At 47.4% G+C, this 16,629-nt stretch overlaps 2 long non-coding RNA genes and 1 pseudogene across 4 annotated transcripts in view; 2 read left to right on the plus strand and 1 right to left on the minus strand.

The window, feature by feature from the left end:
- The window catches only part of NCAL1 (NK cell activity associated lncRNA 1), a 282,375-nt gene that overhangs the window by 192,229 nt on the left and 73,517 nt on the right, over positions 1–16,629 (plus strand). The window lies entirely within an intron of this gene.
- RPS14P5 (ribosomal protein S14 pseudogene 5) lies at positions 7,148–7,669 on the plus strand (annotated as a pseudogene).
- The window catches only part of LOC101928214 (uncharacterized), a 28,748-nt gene continuing 21,392 nt past the window's right edge, over positions 9,274–16,629 (minus strand). Inside the window, exon 4 of one of the 3 annotated variants that reach the window (XR_007087128.1) lies at positions 9,274–13,200. This is a non-coding gene — a long non-coding RNA (uncharacterized LOC101928214). Of the gene's footprint in view, positions 14,708–14,730; positions 16,270–16,629 lie in introns of those variants that run through there. The other 2 variants (XR_940326.3, XR_007087130.1) reach the window with 2 other exon arrangements.

Below are 16,629 nucleotides of genomic sequence, written 5' to 3' on the forward strand. Positions count from 1 at the left end.
TAGAGCACTGGATTTCCAGAGACATGTGTCTGGCAGCATTCGGGAAAATAACATTATAGCCTAGGAATCCCATCACACATATGTGCACACATGCCCACATGCAGGATCATGGTATGTTGGTGGTGGTGCAGTTTGTGCCCATGAAGGAAATTGAAAACACTTGTTGGAGAGAAAACCCAGTCGCTGGCATACTATTCCCATCACAGAAGAGGCAGAGCCTATGATTGGTGCCTCACTGAATCACAGGAAGTGTTTTATTTTATCCCCACATCATGATGGAGGGCCACAGCTGCCAGCTATGTCTATTTCTTATGCACAATATAGACCACAAGAGAGAATAAAACAACCTCAAAACTACAGTGTGGAAAAAAACCTGTCAGCTAGAAAGGGGGAGAAGGTATCTCCAGGAGCCAAGAAAATCTCTTCAAGGAAAAATAAAAAAAGTAACCCACTTTACTTTTTCCCCAAACTGACAAATTTGACTTGTCAGATGTAAGTTTAACTTGTGGACAATCCACTCAAGACTGATAATCGCCATAGTAACTGCTGTGTCACATGATCACACAGAAGCCTAGAGACGGGGAAAGTGGCTTTCCAGGCCACTTTTCTTCTGGTAAATTCTGTGATGTCAGCCTAATTAGCAGGAGTGGAATCAGGACCTTGGTTGAAGTAATTGGCAGCCCTTCTTTAAAAAGAACAAAGGTATTTTAGCACCTTCTCTTCCTGTTTATGGGGGCCTGTGCCAGGACCAACAGGGCTCTGGTGCGGAGTCTTCCTCACCCTTCTTCCTAACTGGCCAAGCTCCAAGCAGTGCCTCTAAATGTGATTCTTTGTAGAGCCATGTCTGGAGAAAAACTCGAATTTATCTCCTGAAGTTTTCAAAATATCAGAAACTGGTGAGAGAGGGGGCCGGGAATACATTTCAGGGCTATCCCGTTTCTTTTTAATTAGTATTGTACATTTCAACTTCTTTCATTTCCAACTGCTTCTCCCTGCAAAATAAAGGTATCATGTCTTTAAAGCTCTCCGTCCATGACAACATTTTGTTCTTATACTAGAAAATGCCATTCCCTTCCCAAGGCACATCTCTTTTAGTTGGGTTTAATTTGAGATGCCTCTTGCCTGCTAAAAACATTGGTGACTTGCCCCAGCAAGGAGGTGACAGGGCCACTTGTCCATGTTGGCCCCCTCCAGTGGGACTGAGTGGCCACCACCCCCAGTGGCTGCCTTTCACAGGAAGAGAACTGCCTTCTTCACCGCCGGGCATCGGCCTGTGGAAATCTGTGCCCAGACAGCTCAGGTGGCAGCTTATCCAAGTCCCCAGCACTCTGCTTTGTCTGCCCCAGGACAATTGCCCCATTGTCTTCAGGCTAATGAAGTTTCTGGTCAAAACACAATGATTTCAAACATCTCTTGAGCCTCTCTGCCCTCCATCTGGAACAGATGAGTACATCAATCCCTTCAAACCTGCCTCCTCCAAGTGCATTCTGCAGAGTTAGTGTGTGGGGGTGCATTTTAATCAACCACGTTGGCCAATGCTGCCTACCTGGAGTGACCCCAACCCCCAACTAAACTGTGAGCTGTGGAAATGAACAGAAGCCAGCCAAATGAGGAGCAAAGGCTATTTATTCAGAGCTTGTGCTAGCGAGGGAGTCAGCCACCATCCCTTGTGTTTTGGCAGAAACTCAGAGGCAGGTAGGGGAGTGGGAAAGCCTCAAAGAAGAAAGAAAGGAAGCCTTCGGGTTGCCCTGAGTGGAGGGTGTTGGCCTGGGGAAAATGAAGGTGGCTATAAGAAATGAGACTCCCATGTGATTGGTTAGGGAGCATGTTTGGCTTTCTTTCATTGGTCCTAAGTTGGAAGTGGGGACAAAAACCTAGGGAATCAGGCTGGGCATGGTGGCTCATGCCTGTAATCCCAGCACTTTGGGAGGCTGAAGTGGGCAGATCACTTGAGGTCAGGAGTTTGAGACCAGCCTGGCCAACATGTTGAAACCCCGTCTCTACTAAATATACAAAAAGTTAGCTGGGCATGGTGGTGTGCACCTGTAATCCCAGCTACTCAGGATACTGAGGTGGCAGAATCGCTCGAACCCGGGAGGCGGAGGTTGCAGTGAGCTGAGATCATGCTGCTGCACTCCAGCCTGGGGGACAGAGCAAGACTCCATCTCAAAACAAAAACAAAACAAAACAAAAAAACCTAAGGAATCGGTCAGTTATTAATCGAGTCCTAGAATTTTGGGGCTGATTGCTATAGGAGCTGTTGTTTGGCTTCTGGGATGATTGCTACAGATTGTGGGTCAGAGTCCTGTCTTTCTATATGGTCTTGACATTGTCTGTATATTGACTCTCTCAGTGTGTACAGGCTGTCTTCTCCCAGCCTGCTTAAAATTAATGAGAGTTTGAACAGACGAGTGTGTGGAGGGCACATCATCATTAGTACAAATAGCCACAGATGGAAATTCTGCATGCCTTTGACAGAACTGAGTTTGAGAGGCTCTACCTCAACAGCTTCCTCAGCCCAGCTGAAGTCTCTCTCCCTGAAGGCCCATGCACCTTTCTCAGCCATTGCTGGGAATTCAGGATTGTGTGTTGGAGGCCAACATTGGGTACCATGAGTGGAAACCATGAACTGGGGCAAGTCCTCCTGGTACACACACCCAGCTACTTTTTCCTTCCTCTTCTGCCCCATCCCAGGGAACCCTCTTTGTACCATCCCACCCACTGGCCAAACTTCAGGGTCTTGTCTTCATACTTACTGCTTTTTTCTAAGGGAAAAGTTATTGAGAAGGCAGTCAAGGTTCATTTATTTTTAACCAGGAGACAGTGCCCCCAAACAAGAACTGAGTCCCTAGTTATGGAATGTCAGACACCTCGCAGCAGGTGGTGGTTCTGAAACACCCGGATCCAGATGGCAGCCAACTCCACCCACATGTCAGGCGGGCGACAGCATTTCCGGACATATTCCTTGTTTAGATGAGGAGATTCTGCCCCCAGTAACATTCCTTCAAGCAGCAAAATGATGCTAGATCTTTCCAGAGGTCACAGACTGAAGGCTTGGGGGCTACAGTCTGGAATGTGTTTTGCTTGGCACACATGCATTTTAAGTTGTTTAATGACCTATCAAGATTTAAAGATCAGGAGCTGACCTTTCATGTTAAAAAGAAAATCTATATTTTCCAACTTGTCTTGGAAAATGGGATGCTCTGGCAACACTTGGCCATCTTCCCACCTTCAGATGCTCAGCAGAATGGCAGCTGCCCTGTGGAGAGGAAGCACCTGTTCCCTTCCTTGCCACTCTCCCTGGCTGGCCTGCAGTTTTCTCCTGTGTGTCACAGTTATGGACTGACTGCTTGTGTCCTGCCAAATTCATATGTTGAAATCCTAACCCCCAAGGTGATCATATTAGGAGATGAGGCCTTTGGGAAGTGATGAGGTCACGAGGGTGGAGCCCTCATGAATGGGATTAGCGCCCTTATGAAAGAGACCCCAGAGAGCTCTCTCACTGTCTTTCCACCATGCATGAAAATGAGATGTTAAAGTCTTCAACCTGGAAGAGGGTCCCTGCCAGAATCCGGCCATGCTGGGACCTGATCTTGGACTTTTGAGAACTGTGAGAAGTAATTTTCAGTTGTTTACAAGTCATCCCATCAATGGTATTCCACTATGGCAGTCCAAACTGACTAGGTGACTCACCTTCTTGGCCCAGTGGGCATTTGATCCAGAATAACTCATTACTGTCTGAGGAAATTCCCACTGTCTCTTTTCCCAGAAGTTTTTGTTTCTGGTGGCTTCTTGGGGGATTCCAGGCACAGTAGGGCCAAGCAATGGGTATAGAGTGACCCTACACCTTTGACTTGGCCTCCTGTGGACTTAGATGGATGGGTGTGTTTCCTAGGAGCCCTCTTTCCTGTCCTCAACCCTTTTCCCATGAGAAATGCCTCTTCTTGCCTCAGAAACAAACGAAGGGGTCAGTGTCTGCCAATGTCTGCTCAGCCCAGAGTGAATGTCTGAGAGATTCAGTGTGAATGTGCTGGTTGCCTGCTACAGATCAGGCTTGGCAGGTGGTGGTAGGTGGTTAAGGTTCCAGTTTCAGCATCAAGTATGAGTTGTTACTGCTCAGAGTCTCAGTTTTCTCATCTGTAAAATGGGAAGATTCCTAGCTCTCAAATTTATAAGGCTCCACTGGCCGTGTGTAAAATGTGGCAATTAGGGAATACTGTTGGCTGTTAACTATATCCACCAGGACAGGCTGGTTATGCTCTGGTAAAAAATAAACCCAAACTCAATGTCTGCGCCCAGCACACATTTATCTCTTGTGCATGCTATATGGCCATCTTGACTCAGCAGGGTTCTATTCTCTGTCACCTTTACTTAGGAGTGTTGGTTGGAAGAATCCCCCAAAGTAGTGCCATCAGTCTCTATGGCAGGGGAAAGGGGACATGGTGTATCAAGCCTTGGGCTTGAAGGTCTATTCCCAGAAGAGACATCATTACCGCAACTCACGTTTCATTGGCCAAAGTGAGTCACAAGCCAAGTTTAACTTCAAGGAGCATGCCCCCAAGCCTCTGATTCTAAGTGCTACCGCCTTAACACATTTGAGCTCCTGTAACAAAATGCCATAAGCTGGGTGACTTATAAACAAGAGAAATTATTTCTCCCAGTTCTGGAGGCTGGAAAGTCCAAGACCAAGGCACTGGCAGATTTGGTGTCTAATGAGAACCTATTTCCTGGTTAATAGATGGTGCCTTCTTGCTGTATCATTACACGGTGGAAGGGGCAAACAAACTCTCTGGGGCCTCTTTTATAAGGGCACTGATCCCATTAACGACAGCTCTGCCTTTATGACCTAATCACCTTCCAGAGCCCCCACCTCCTAATGCCCTCACTGGGGGCTAGGTTTCTCCATATGAATTCTGGGGGGACACAAACATTCAGACCATGGCAGCGCTCTCTTCCCTCACCGCGTGGCTGGCTCTCCAACTACAACACCATGCCCCATGGCTCACTTCCAAGGAGACTTTCTGGAGAGGTTTGTCCTAAGAGACAGAAGAATGCATCCTGCCTCAAGTTTTAGTTGCATAGGTTCACCCTACAGTGAGGTAATAGTTACACATTCTTAATGAAAAGATCCAAAAGCCCAATACATCCTGTTCTGCAGCATATAAAGCATCTTCTTCAGACCTGGTCCAAGACTACTCTGGGATTTTTGAGTCAGAAGAGAGCCAGAGCCTATTCAGTATGCTGTTTGACTCTGATCCCAGCAGCCACCACCATGTTAACAGGATGAGCAGGGCTTTCTTCAACTCAGGGTTCCTGTGAAATTAAAAAGAATTCTCATCTTGACTCAGGATTGTTGAACACTATTGATACTTCTTCCAAGGTCTCACAAGAGTTTGCCTCCTCTCATTGCCATGTGAAGACCTCTGTGGGGGAACAATGCATGGGTTCTTGGGGTATTATAGGGGACTACAGAGAAGTGTCACCTCCACCCAACAGCCTGATTCAGTCTACTCCTCAGGAGGAACACAAAGTGGTCTCTCTAGTGCCATGAAACCCCAAAAAGTGTCAACCAGTATTAAAGGCCTGCCTGATATACAACCCTCGAATGCAACACAGTGTCCTTCTGAGGCCACTCTAAAGGCCAGGAAAGGTTTGCTAAGAAGTCTGTGCTGTTAAAAACAGAAGAAAAAGACCCTTATCCCATTGCTCTGTGTCTGGTGGCTATAGGGACAGTATTTCATAAAAAAAGAAAGGCAAAAATAATTTTCAAAAATGATTCAAGAAATGCTGTCAAAGATAGCAAAGAACAGAGTCCTCAGAGAACAGTGCCCAGGACAGGATAAGCACTCAATAACATATAACACTGTGTAGTGCTGTTGAGTGCTGGCTGTTGTTGAGTGCTAGCTATTGTTGAGTGCTTGTTGTTGAGTGCTAGCTGCTGAGTGCTAGCTGTTGTTGAGTGCTTGTTGTTGAGTGCTAGCTGTTGTTGGGTGCTTGTTGTTGAGTGCTAGCTGTTGTTGAGTGCTTGTTGTTGAGTGCTAGCTGTTGTTGAGTGATTGTTGTTGAGTGCTAGCTGTTGTTGAGTGCTAGCTGTTGTTGAATGCTAGCTGTTGCTGAGTGCTTGTTGTTGAGTGCTAGCTGTTGTTGAGTGCTTGTCCTGCCTGGGCCCTGTTTTTAGCCTTTGATGTACATTTCTCCATTTAACTTCCACAATAGCCCTATTAGGCAGCTAGTATTATTATTTCTGTTTTACAGATAAAGATTGGTTTTAGCTCAGAGTAGTTCTGAATCTTATAAAAAGAAAAAAATATCCCCAGGAACTGAATCGGCTCCAAAATAGCCCCATCTTGGGCTAAATATGGGATGTGACAAAGCCACCATGAAGCTAGGCCCCCCTGTCCTGACAGCTTTCCACCCCTTCCCTGCCCCTCTCACCCTGCTTTCCAGGGGCAATGCACCTCCCCACTTCTCCTGGGAGGGGTGGGCATCCTCTCAGTCCCATAATCTGTGCCAGGCCCACATATGAGGACTTGACAGGATTCAGCAGAGATGCAGGCCTCTGCTCTGCTCTGCTCATCTCTTTGCATATAGTAATTTAATGAGGACAAAAACTGCATAGAGCTAGTAATGGCACGACCAAGCAGCAGCTTAAGCTTTGAGCCGCTAAACTATGCTGCCTCCTATTGTAATACGATTATATTATAACACAAGTTCAAGAGACCACCCACTGCTTTCTTTATTGGATCTTCCAATAAAGTGGCCATGCTAGTAGCACAATTCCCCACGGAAATAGATAATGACTATTCTAAAATAAATCCGAGGACACACCCAGCCACAAAGTGGGAGGTGTATTATACAAATGCAACCAGGGCCTCTGGATCTGGCATTTAGACCCACAGCAACAGCTTGTGTTTGCTCAGGGCTAAGAATGCAGGACTCAGACACCGAGAGCCTCTGAGCTGCTGCAAACTCATCAACCCCTCCCTATTAAAGGCCATTCTGACTACCCTCAGTTTTCCTCAAAGAGCAGTTGAGAGCTAAGGTAGGGTAGGGAGCCAAGAGGAGGCAGGGAGAGCCAGAGATGGCAGCCGGCAACAGGACACAGAAAGAAAAGGGACTTCAAAGGCAGATCTAATAACTCACAGGGCTTTTTGGTGCAGAGTCTGGAGATAATGCACAGAAATGACACCTTGAAAGGGGAAGGAAAAGAAGGAAGAACACATCATCAGCCCCGGACTTCAGGTGGCTGAAGGAGAGAATGTATTTGGCATCTACCATATCTTTGCATCCTTCAATGACACATTTGTCCATGTCACTGATCTTTCTGGCAAAAAAAAAAAAAAAAAATGTGCTGTGTGACTGGTGGGATGAAGGTAAAGGGTGGCCAGATGAATCCTCTCCACATGCTGCCACGCTGGCCACCCAGGATGTGGCCTAGAGGTGCAAGGAACCAGACACCACTGGCCTACATCAAACTCCAGGCCACAGATGGAAATAGGACTGAGATCCCTGGACCTGGGGCCCGCTCAGGTATGAAGATCAGGTGGATTGAGGATGTCACTGCCATCCCCTCCAAAAGCACCTGCAGGAAGGGGGTTGCCATGGTCACCATCTGTGAACAGGACTCCTCAAAATGTTTTCTGTTAATAAATTGCCTTCAAGTAAACTGAAAAAAAAAAAAAAAGAGGGAGAGAATTCACACAAAATGATGCCCAGTCTTGGTCTGCATGGTGAAGGGCCCAGGACTGATGGGCGGGGGCTCATTTGCATACCACAACACCAGGGAGAGTCCTGTCACCTGCCCTCCTGAGTCCTGAAGAAAACCCTTCACTCCAATTCCCTGTACACTGCTTCTAAAGGCAGGAAATGTGTACAGTTCTAGAATTACAGTCACATAAAATGCTAGAAGAATAACGTGATTTATTTAAGTGCTTAGAGGTACCCCCTTGAAGTTTGTGTTACCTGGAAGTTGGCCTCAGGGAAACACCTCATTGACCTTCTCTCAAGGATAAATGAGATGCAGGGACAGGGAAGGGAGAAAGGTTATTTTAACATTTCATTCACAGTCCCTGGGATTCTTTGGAGAGCACCTTAGGAATGTTCTTAACCTGAGTCCTCTTACTAAGTATTATCACATAGTCTGCCAGGCTGGCATTATTAACCCTACTTTGCAGCTGAGGCAACTACAAGAGATGACCCTATCGGGCTAGTGAAGTGGAATTCGCCATGTACTGCATGCAGTCATGTACTGCAGTGACCAATCCGGGTCTAATTTCTTTGATGATATCATTGACGGGGTAGCAGGGGAGAGGCAAGTGCAAGAGAAGAAATGGGGTGAAACCCACTGCAGGGAAGCTTGGGCTGGGGCAGGATCGGGGAGCCAGGGTATGGGGCATGGTTGGGACTGAAACCCTTGTTAACACTGGCTTTAGCAAAAGAAATGGGCACCACAATCCCAGAGGACTTCCAGAAGCTTCCTCCCTCCCCCGCACCTGGGCACAGAGCCTTACCTCCCCTGCACCCTGGCCCTGTCTCTCTATTTGGCAAGACTCCCATGTCATCTGCTCCTCTTTACTTCGGGTCCCTCTTGGCACTGGAAATACTAAGTGAACCCAGCAGTTGCACAGGATTCTAGGAATTTCTCCTTTCCAACTTCCTGAACTGGTTTTCTAATTCACCTCAGAGGTACCTTAACAAATCATGTTCCAAGGCCAGGCACAGTGGCTCACGCCTGTAATCCCAGCACTTTGGGAGGTCGAGGCAGGAGGACCTCCTGAGCCCAGGAGTTCAAGACCAGCCTGGGCAACATAGTGAGACCGTGTCTCTACAAAAAATAAAAGAATTATCCTGGTGTGGTGGTGTGTGCCACTACACTCCAGCCTGGATGAAAGTGAGAGATCTCTTTCGAAAAACTCACGCTCCACACAATCAGGAGGTCTGCCATCCACAGACTCCAGACAGATAGTTCCATCAGCCAGCAGGAGCGGCATGGGCAACGTCAGTAGCATGCACATCAGGTTAGCTTCTCTGAGGTCACAAAGTTGCCTGGAAGTGGGGAATCCATGAGGGCCAGGCCCTCCACAGGAGGAGGACTTCCCTCTCCAGTCACCGGCCTCCCTGATGTGGTTCCCTCCTCTCAGCCCACATGCTCCTGCCGAGGTAACATGTCCCCCCACTCTATGTTAGAAAACCATAAAGCCCCCAAGAGACGTTTCTACCAATCATCTAAATATTGAGTTTCACCTTATAAAATTTATAAAACGTAAAGAACACTTGGAACAGCCCAGTTTTAATGCCTCCAGCTTTTGTTTTCCAAAGAACAATTGGTAGACTTGGCCCCGAGGGGAGCAGAGCCCGGCTCTCAGACAACGAGCCTCACCAGCAATTCTGTATCTTCGAGGCGGCAGAGGTTTTTGTGATCTTGTGTCATTTCTAAACACGACGGTGTAGATGGGATCCTCTTCATTTTGCAAATGAGAAAATGGAAAAACCCGAGGGACAAAGGGCCTCTCTCAAGGTGCCATGGTGAGAAGGAGGCAGAAGGAAGAGGACCTCGCCCCTGCCTTGATTCCACTGACTGCTGTTTATCACACCATGAGTGTCTTCAGGGAGCAGTCGTTCTCCCGCTGGAATGTTTACATGAGGAGCAAATGTGATGCCATCACATAATTCCAGTGAGGGCTGGTCATCCCCTGCAAGGCTGAAATGACCCTGTCTGTTTTAATGCTAAGGAAGCAGCAGCTTTTCTCCCACTCCCACACAGGATGTGTGCAGCATCTTCAAGTCTCTGCCTCGCGTTTCTAGATCTGTAGTGAGCTCTCCATGGTCAGGGAGTGGATCTTTCAGTTGGGTATTTTTCTGAAGCAACTGTCATTCTTTGCTTTTTGTAACAAGACATGTTTTTAAAATCCTCTGAGAGAGAAAGAGTGTTGCCAGAAAAGGAATGAAGAGTGGGAGAAAGGTGCATTGTGGAGCTGTCTGAGCGTTGGAGTATGTCCCAATAACGAAGAGACTGCGGAGAAGCATCCCCTGTCCCCCTCCGTGTTCTAAATGTATGAAACCTAACAAGGTAATTGCATGGGAATAACACACTGTGAATGTTATGTGGGATTTGAAATTGTCATCCCAAGAGTGACCAGGTGGAGAGAGGAAGGGTGAACTCTTTCAGTCTAAAAGCTATGTTTTAAAAGGCAGGGTTAGACTATGTTTGTTTCTGCAGTGTATTTTCTCTGCATAAAGGGATTTTTTTCCTACTTTTTCTGCTGGTGGACGTTTCCCTTGGGGGAGCCTGGCCAATGAAAGGTCACACAGAGACCAGTCACTCTCAGGAACACCAGCAGAGCCGGGCAGACACATGTCCTAATTTTCCCAGGAGCAGACTGATTGAACCATAGGAGGGTCTGTCTGATGTTTATCTTGGCAGAATTCTCAGATGAGTTAGCAAATAGTGGCTGGAGATAAACTGAAACTTTGAGCAACCTCTGGACTGACTCTGATTACCCTCCACACCCTACCTGCACAGGGAGGAGAGACCACAAAGCCAGCAGCAAACAGTAAACTTTTCCAAGAATCAGAGAGGAAGGAGTTCCTGACACCCTGCAGCAAAAACAACCTCAAAATTCCCCTGAAGACAGACCCATGGGAGCTGGGGTCAAGGTGGCCTTGCGCTTCACCGAGGAGGTGTCATTACCAAACGTGCTGGACATTGGCTACCTACGGAAGAAAGATTAAGGACTGAAAGAAAATAGTGGAGAACATGCTTTTGACATGGGGGTAGGACAGGGAAGGCCTTGAGCAAGACACAAATCACAAAAGCAAATAGAGAAAGAGTGATGTCTACCTTCAATGAAATGTGAAACTTCTGATTCAAAATCGGAAACCTCTATAAGCTGAGATAAAAGACAAGCAACAGAGTTGGAGAAGATATTTCTAACATTTGTATGTGTGCAAATGTATGTGTGTAATGTGCTTATACATATACATATAGATAAATGCGTGCGTATACACATGAATTCTGGATTGTTATCTAGGCTCTATGAAGAATTCCTATCTGTTAATAAGAAAAAAGACCAAGATCAACAACCTCATAGACAAGTGGATAAAGAAGATGACCAGTTAGTCCACAGAAAAGAAAATGCAAATGGAAGTGGGAGGGCCCAGAGGAACTCTTGCTTTATCTAAATTGTGTTGATTACGGGAGCATATGCTTATATTAATTTTATAGGTAAAAAAACAGAAAAAGTACCTGAAGATTAAACCTAAGCAATGCGATGTGTCAGTTTTGACAACACACAGGAAGGGGCTCTCAGCCTGTAAAATAGGAGCCCTTTTGTGTGAAGCTGACCAGATGCGGAGAAGTTTCAACAGTCCTAGAGAAGAGGACCGCAGGGGACAGAGAGCCAGGGAACAGGGCAGGGAGGATCTAAGAGGGCACCCGGCCAAGCGGTTCACTGCAGCTGGTGCAGGGCTCAGCTATACCCTGGGGCTGGGCGCTTAGCACAGTGTGGTCAGATGAAGGCAAGCAAGCAGTGGCAGGGACTCTCCATTTGAGTCAAAGTGACAAGCAGTGCCCCCAGTCCCTGGGAAGGATGAAATCCAAATTTAATTCCCTTCTGAACAACATTCTACAATCTATGCTTCATTTAGGTATCTGTAAGCCTAAAAGAGCTGAAAAATCATTTTATTTCCCCTTCCAATGTACAATTTCTAAGACATTTGAATTATCGATGTTGAAGTTTCATTGAGAATGAGCTGAGTGTCCTGCTTTCGGCCTGAAAACAAAGCCTCAGCCACAGTCTTCGTCTCACCCTCTTTCTCTCTGTTTATTTTCTTTTAAAAAGTTTCTCCCATTTCTTTGTTCTTTAACAAAGAGTTGTGTGCATCTTCTAAGCTCCAAGTGCTGCACTGGCTTCCAGCAGACAATGGCAACCGTGGCCCTGACCTCATGGCGTGACTGAACGGAGGGTCTCGGCCAGGAACGTGAGGGACGCCAGAAAGAGGACATTGGTGGGCAATGAGGGGTCTTCCTTGCGGGGGGGTGTTGGGGGGTGTGCTGTGCTTCCCTAGCAGTCCACGACCACTGGCAGGGGACACCCCGGGCAGACCAGTGGTCCAAATTTATACCAGCGAAAAGCAAATGCTGATGCCTTCCCAATCACGGTTCCTTCAAAGGCTTCAGGGTTCCTTGGGAAGGGAAAAGAACATTAGTTCAGCTCCTGCGATGTGCTGGGACTGTGCTAGGAAGTTTCACAGATGCTAGTTCATTTAGATTGGATATGCCTCCTGGACCAGTGTGCTGTCCATTATGGAAAATCAAAACAGCCATTGCATTTCCATAGTGTTCACAAGGAGCCTCATTTCTGGGCTCAGGCAGGCTGAGGCGTTCCAGGGTTGAGAATCAGACTTGGTGACTGAGCAGGAACTGTTGTCCTTTTTCTCTTTTGAGATATGAAATTTGCTTCACATCTCAGAAGAGTGTGTGCCTCCATCCCACACTTGGGACAAGCGCCGTTATTCCTTTTTTAAAACATCTGTAGAACATATTAAATGCTCTGCTTTCTTCACGGGTTAAATCATGCTGGGGCGGGAGGCTTGTGGTGTAAGAGCGGTGCACTGTGCATCCACTAGGGCTCTCCCGTCATTCCAGTTGGTCTCCTTGCCACGCCCCAGCTCGCTGCCCCCAGGCTGTCTTGGACAGACACATTTGTGTTTTGTAATAGAGCACATCATGCACTATTATATGGGGATATTTTATAAAGGAGCCCACGTGACACAAGGAAACTAGGAGAAAACAATCCTAGAAATCCCCAAAGCTTGGAAGCAGGGACATGCAAGCGAGGTACAGCATATGCTATCAAGTGGCAATGTCCTTCCAGTAGGAAAGCCGCTGTTGTCATCAGTTTAGGCAGGTGCTGGGATTAAGCACATCTACCACTCAGAAAATAATACCAATAAGAACCACGGTCCACATCCAACATGGGTCTCCCAAATTCTCTAAAATGTGGAAGTGTGCAGATCTTAGCATCTCTGTCCTTTCTCTCGCTTCGAGGAAGTTGGGCTCCTGGGCACTGCCTCATCAGTCATGCCCAGTACCTGTGTACAGGTGCCTCCCCTGCTCTCTGGAGCATCGGGACTGGAAGGATTGGGAACAGAACGGAGCTTTGATTGATCCTCTTGTCCGCACTTGTGCCTTTCAACTCCCTGTGGTGGAGGGTGACAGTTTAGTCTCCCTGTCTTCTCCTGGGGTCCCACCGGCTCCTGAATCAAATCCTGCTCTTCCCCTGCATGTTCTGAGTGGCCTGTACACTCTGGGCTCTCTCTCTCCTTGACCCCTGGAACACCACCTCTTTGGTTCTTAGTAAACCGGAGCCTTCCTACCTGGTAGTAGCACTGACATCCTCTTCATCCACTGGAAGCTTCCAGATCCTGGCCCCCACAACCCATTCTCTCCCCATAGGGCTTCCACAGAAACACAACGTGTACTGTGTGCCAAATGACTGGCCCAGAGGATGAGTGAGTGGGGGACCAATGTAGGCTAGGGGAGGGGTCAGAAGAGAAAAGTTCCAAGAGAGTGGGAACCCAAGGAAGGCTTCTTAGAGGAGCTGGGACACATTGGGGCCTGAAGGAAGTGGACATTTAGACGATCATAAAGACTGCAGGGATGTCCAACCTTTTGGTTTCACTGGGCCACATTGGAAGAAGAAGTGTCTTGAGCCACACGTAAAATACACTAACACTAATGTTAGCTGATGAAGAACAACAAAAATAATAGCAAAAAGTCTCATAATGCTTTAAGAAAATTTATGAATTTACGTTGGCCCACATTCAAAGCTGTCCTGGGCCACATGCATCCTGCGGGCTTGGGTTGGACAGGCTTGAGCTAAAGCAAGTGTGTTCTGAGCTGGAGAGAAGGCCAGCCCCATGGTTCATCGTTCGTGGTATCACCAACCAATGATACTAGGAACAGTTGGTGGGTGCAGGCCCTGGGCAGGGCAATAATAAGAAAAAGCTTAGAAAAGAAAAGGAGGAGGAGGAGGGGAGTTGCGGGTCATGGAGGGCCTTGAAAGCGAGACTGAGGGTTTGGACCTTACCTTTTCGGCATACTACCGAGCAGGAACCCCTGTCACTGTAATTTCTGATGATTCTGCCTTCCATCTTTGGGAATAACAATGACATAGTCGACTACTCCTCTACAAAAAGAGTCGTCAGATTCTTTAACCATGTGGGGCATCTTGTTTTGGCATCCACACTAGTTCTGTTACAGCCAAAGCTGGGGGTGTTGGGGAATGTCGCATGCTTCAGGGGTATCTGTGTAGTGTGCATTTTACCCAGCTGAGCTCACAACTTTAATGTGTGAAGGTGATCCTCCAGTTCAGGAGGACAGAGTTGGTGCCCCTGCCTGTACCATCCTAAGAGAGGTTTCTGCTTCCTGTGTCCTGCTCTGTGGGCTCCCCAGGTACCCCTGTAGTTTTTGCCTAATACTTTGGAACCAACAATAATAACTTATGAAATCTTTATTTCAAACACAGCTTGAATTTCATCCATTTTCATCTTACCCAAAGAGATAGATTCTCTAGTCCGCAATCTGGATGGTCAGAATGGAGAAATCCCCTTACCTGCAAACACAGGTCTTTTATTTTGTAACCACTGTCTGTCTGGTTTTCTGTTTTGGAGTCTCCCAGGGTGATGGTGCCGCCAGATAAAAGTTCTAATGAGAGAGGGAGGGTGGGAGGGAGGTTCCGGTGGCAAGGCAGGGCGGAAGGTAAGCGGAGACCTTCTCCAATCAGAAGTCTAGAAGGCAGGGCACGCAGTAGGTCTGCAGAATGACTCAGAACCCGCGTATGAATGCTGTCTATTCATGGGTCCAGGCTTTTGTTAAAGCCTGGGCCTGCATTTTAAAGAGGGAGTCAGGGAACTGGCTGGACTGGTCTGACAACTAAGGAGTGGTGAACACTTCCCCCAGGCTAGTACTCAGGTGGATGAAGTCATCAATATTTTCTGGGCAGTCCTAATCTGTGATTAACTTTTATCTCTGCTGTGAAATAACAGCCTCCTTTTCAGCCTGCTAACAATAAGTTAACCTGGCTGCCCGGCTGGGGGATATTTTATGCTGGGCTCCAGCAGAGGCACACTTGAGAAGCCATGTGGGACTCCTGCCCTGGAGAGAGCCCAGAGTAGAGGGAGGGGTCTGTATGGTGGTGGGAGTCCTCTCAGCAATGGTCCTTGTGATTCCGGTATACTCTGATGTCCTGACTTCAAACTCAGCTTACCCAAAGCAAATGTCCACTTTCTTCCGTACTCCTTTCTTGTTTAAAGCCTCACCACTGACCAGGAAGTCTTGATAGAGCCATCTAGTAATTCTTAAGTCCTACCTCATCCAACCTTGTTTTGACTCCTGCAGTGAGCACAGCTGCCCTCACCCTCCCCTCTCTATGCCCTCACCTTTGCAGGAGACTCTCAATTTCTCAGTCCACATCAGCTCTCAGACCACCAAAGCAAGGGTTATTTTTCTAAAAGACATTTGTTCCCATTGCTCCTCTGACTAAAGTTCCTACTATGGGACATTTGCCCTTGGCACTCAAGGACCTTGCAATCAGGCTGAGAACCTCAGGTTCTCAAACTCAAGACCATGGGGAATGTAATAGGTGAATCAGGCAGGTGAAGTCCAGGACTCTTTTTGGTTTATATTTTGTTTACTCAGTTTTGATGGAGACAAGCATACCAGAAAATTCACATTCCTCTTAACTCTAGCAGTAGACAAACAACAGAGCAAGCAGGATGTGACCATTTATACATGGCCTCACTGTTGGGGAGGCAGTAGGGAGTGTTGGAGACCAGGGTCAGGACTAGGGCTAGGGCAAGGCTAGGAAGGTGCCCAGGATGCATGTTTTAAGGAAGCACTCACTCTTGGGGCTTTGCAAGTACAAGGCTAGCACTGGGAGATGAGTGCCTCCTTAAAGTTGGCTTCTTGGGCCTTGTTTGCCTGACCTAGTCTGGCCTTGGTGAGGACAGTGGAGAAATGGAGCATGGACCTACCCAAAGGGATGGCTGCTGATCAGCTTCACCTAGCTGTTGCCAAAGGCAACACTGTGGCCCCACTTTTGCCAAATCTTTTCAAACATTCTGTGGGTGCTTCCATCATAGCTATTATCACCTGGCAAGGGAGTTGTCCCCACAGGTAACCTTCTCACTAAGTGGGGGTGTCTGAGGCCAGGGAGAGCTCTACTCATTCCCCTGTGTGATCCCAGCAGTGAGCATAGAGCAGGTGCCCTGCAATGTTAAGCAAAAAAAAAAAAAAAAAAAAAAAAAGACTTTGGAAATAGAGTTATGGAGCCAGGATGGGTCTTGAGTTAGCCTCACTCTTTATTTCTTTATTCAAGGAATGGTTGTTCAGGGCCAGCGGCTCAGCCCTGGGAGCACTGACTGCTTCAAGACACAGACTCCTCTGGGATGCCAGGCAGAGTCTGCTCCTGAAGGCAGACTCCACTCTTCATGGGGCTCCCTCCATTACTCATTAGGTCACAGAATAATAGAAAAAGGCAGGAAAGATGAAAAAAGAGAATTTAAGAACAAAACACGTCCAGGTGTGGTGGCTCACACCCGTAATCCCAGCACTTTGGGAGGCTGAGG

This window comes from Homo sapiens, chromosome 2, assembly GCF_000001405.40.
Source record: "Homo sapiens chromosome 2, GRCh38.p14 Primary Assembly".
NCBI lineage: Eukaryota > Metazoa > Chordata > Mammalia > Primates > Hominidae > Homo > Homo sapiens.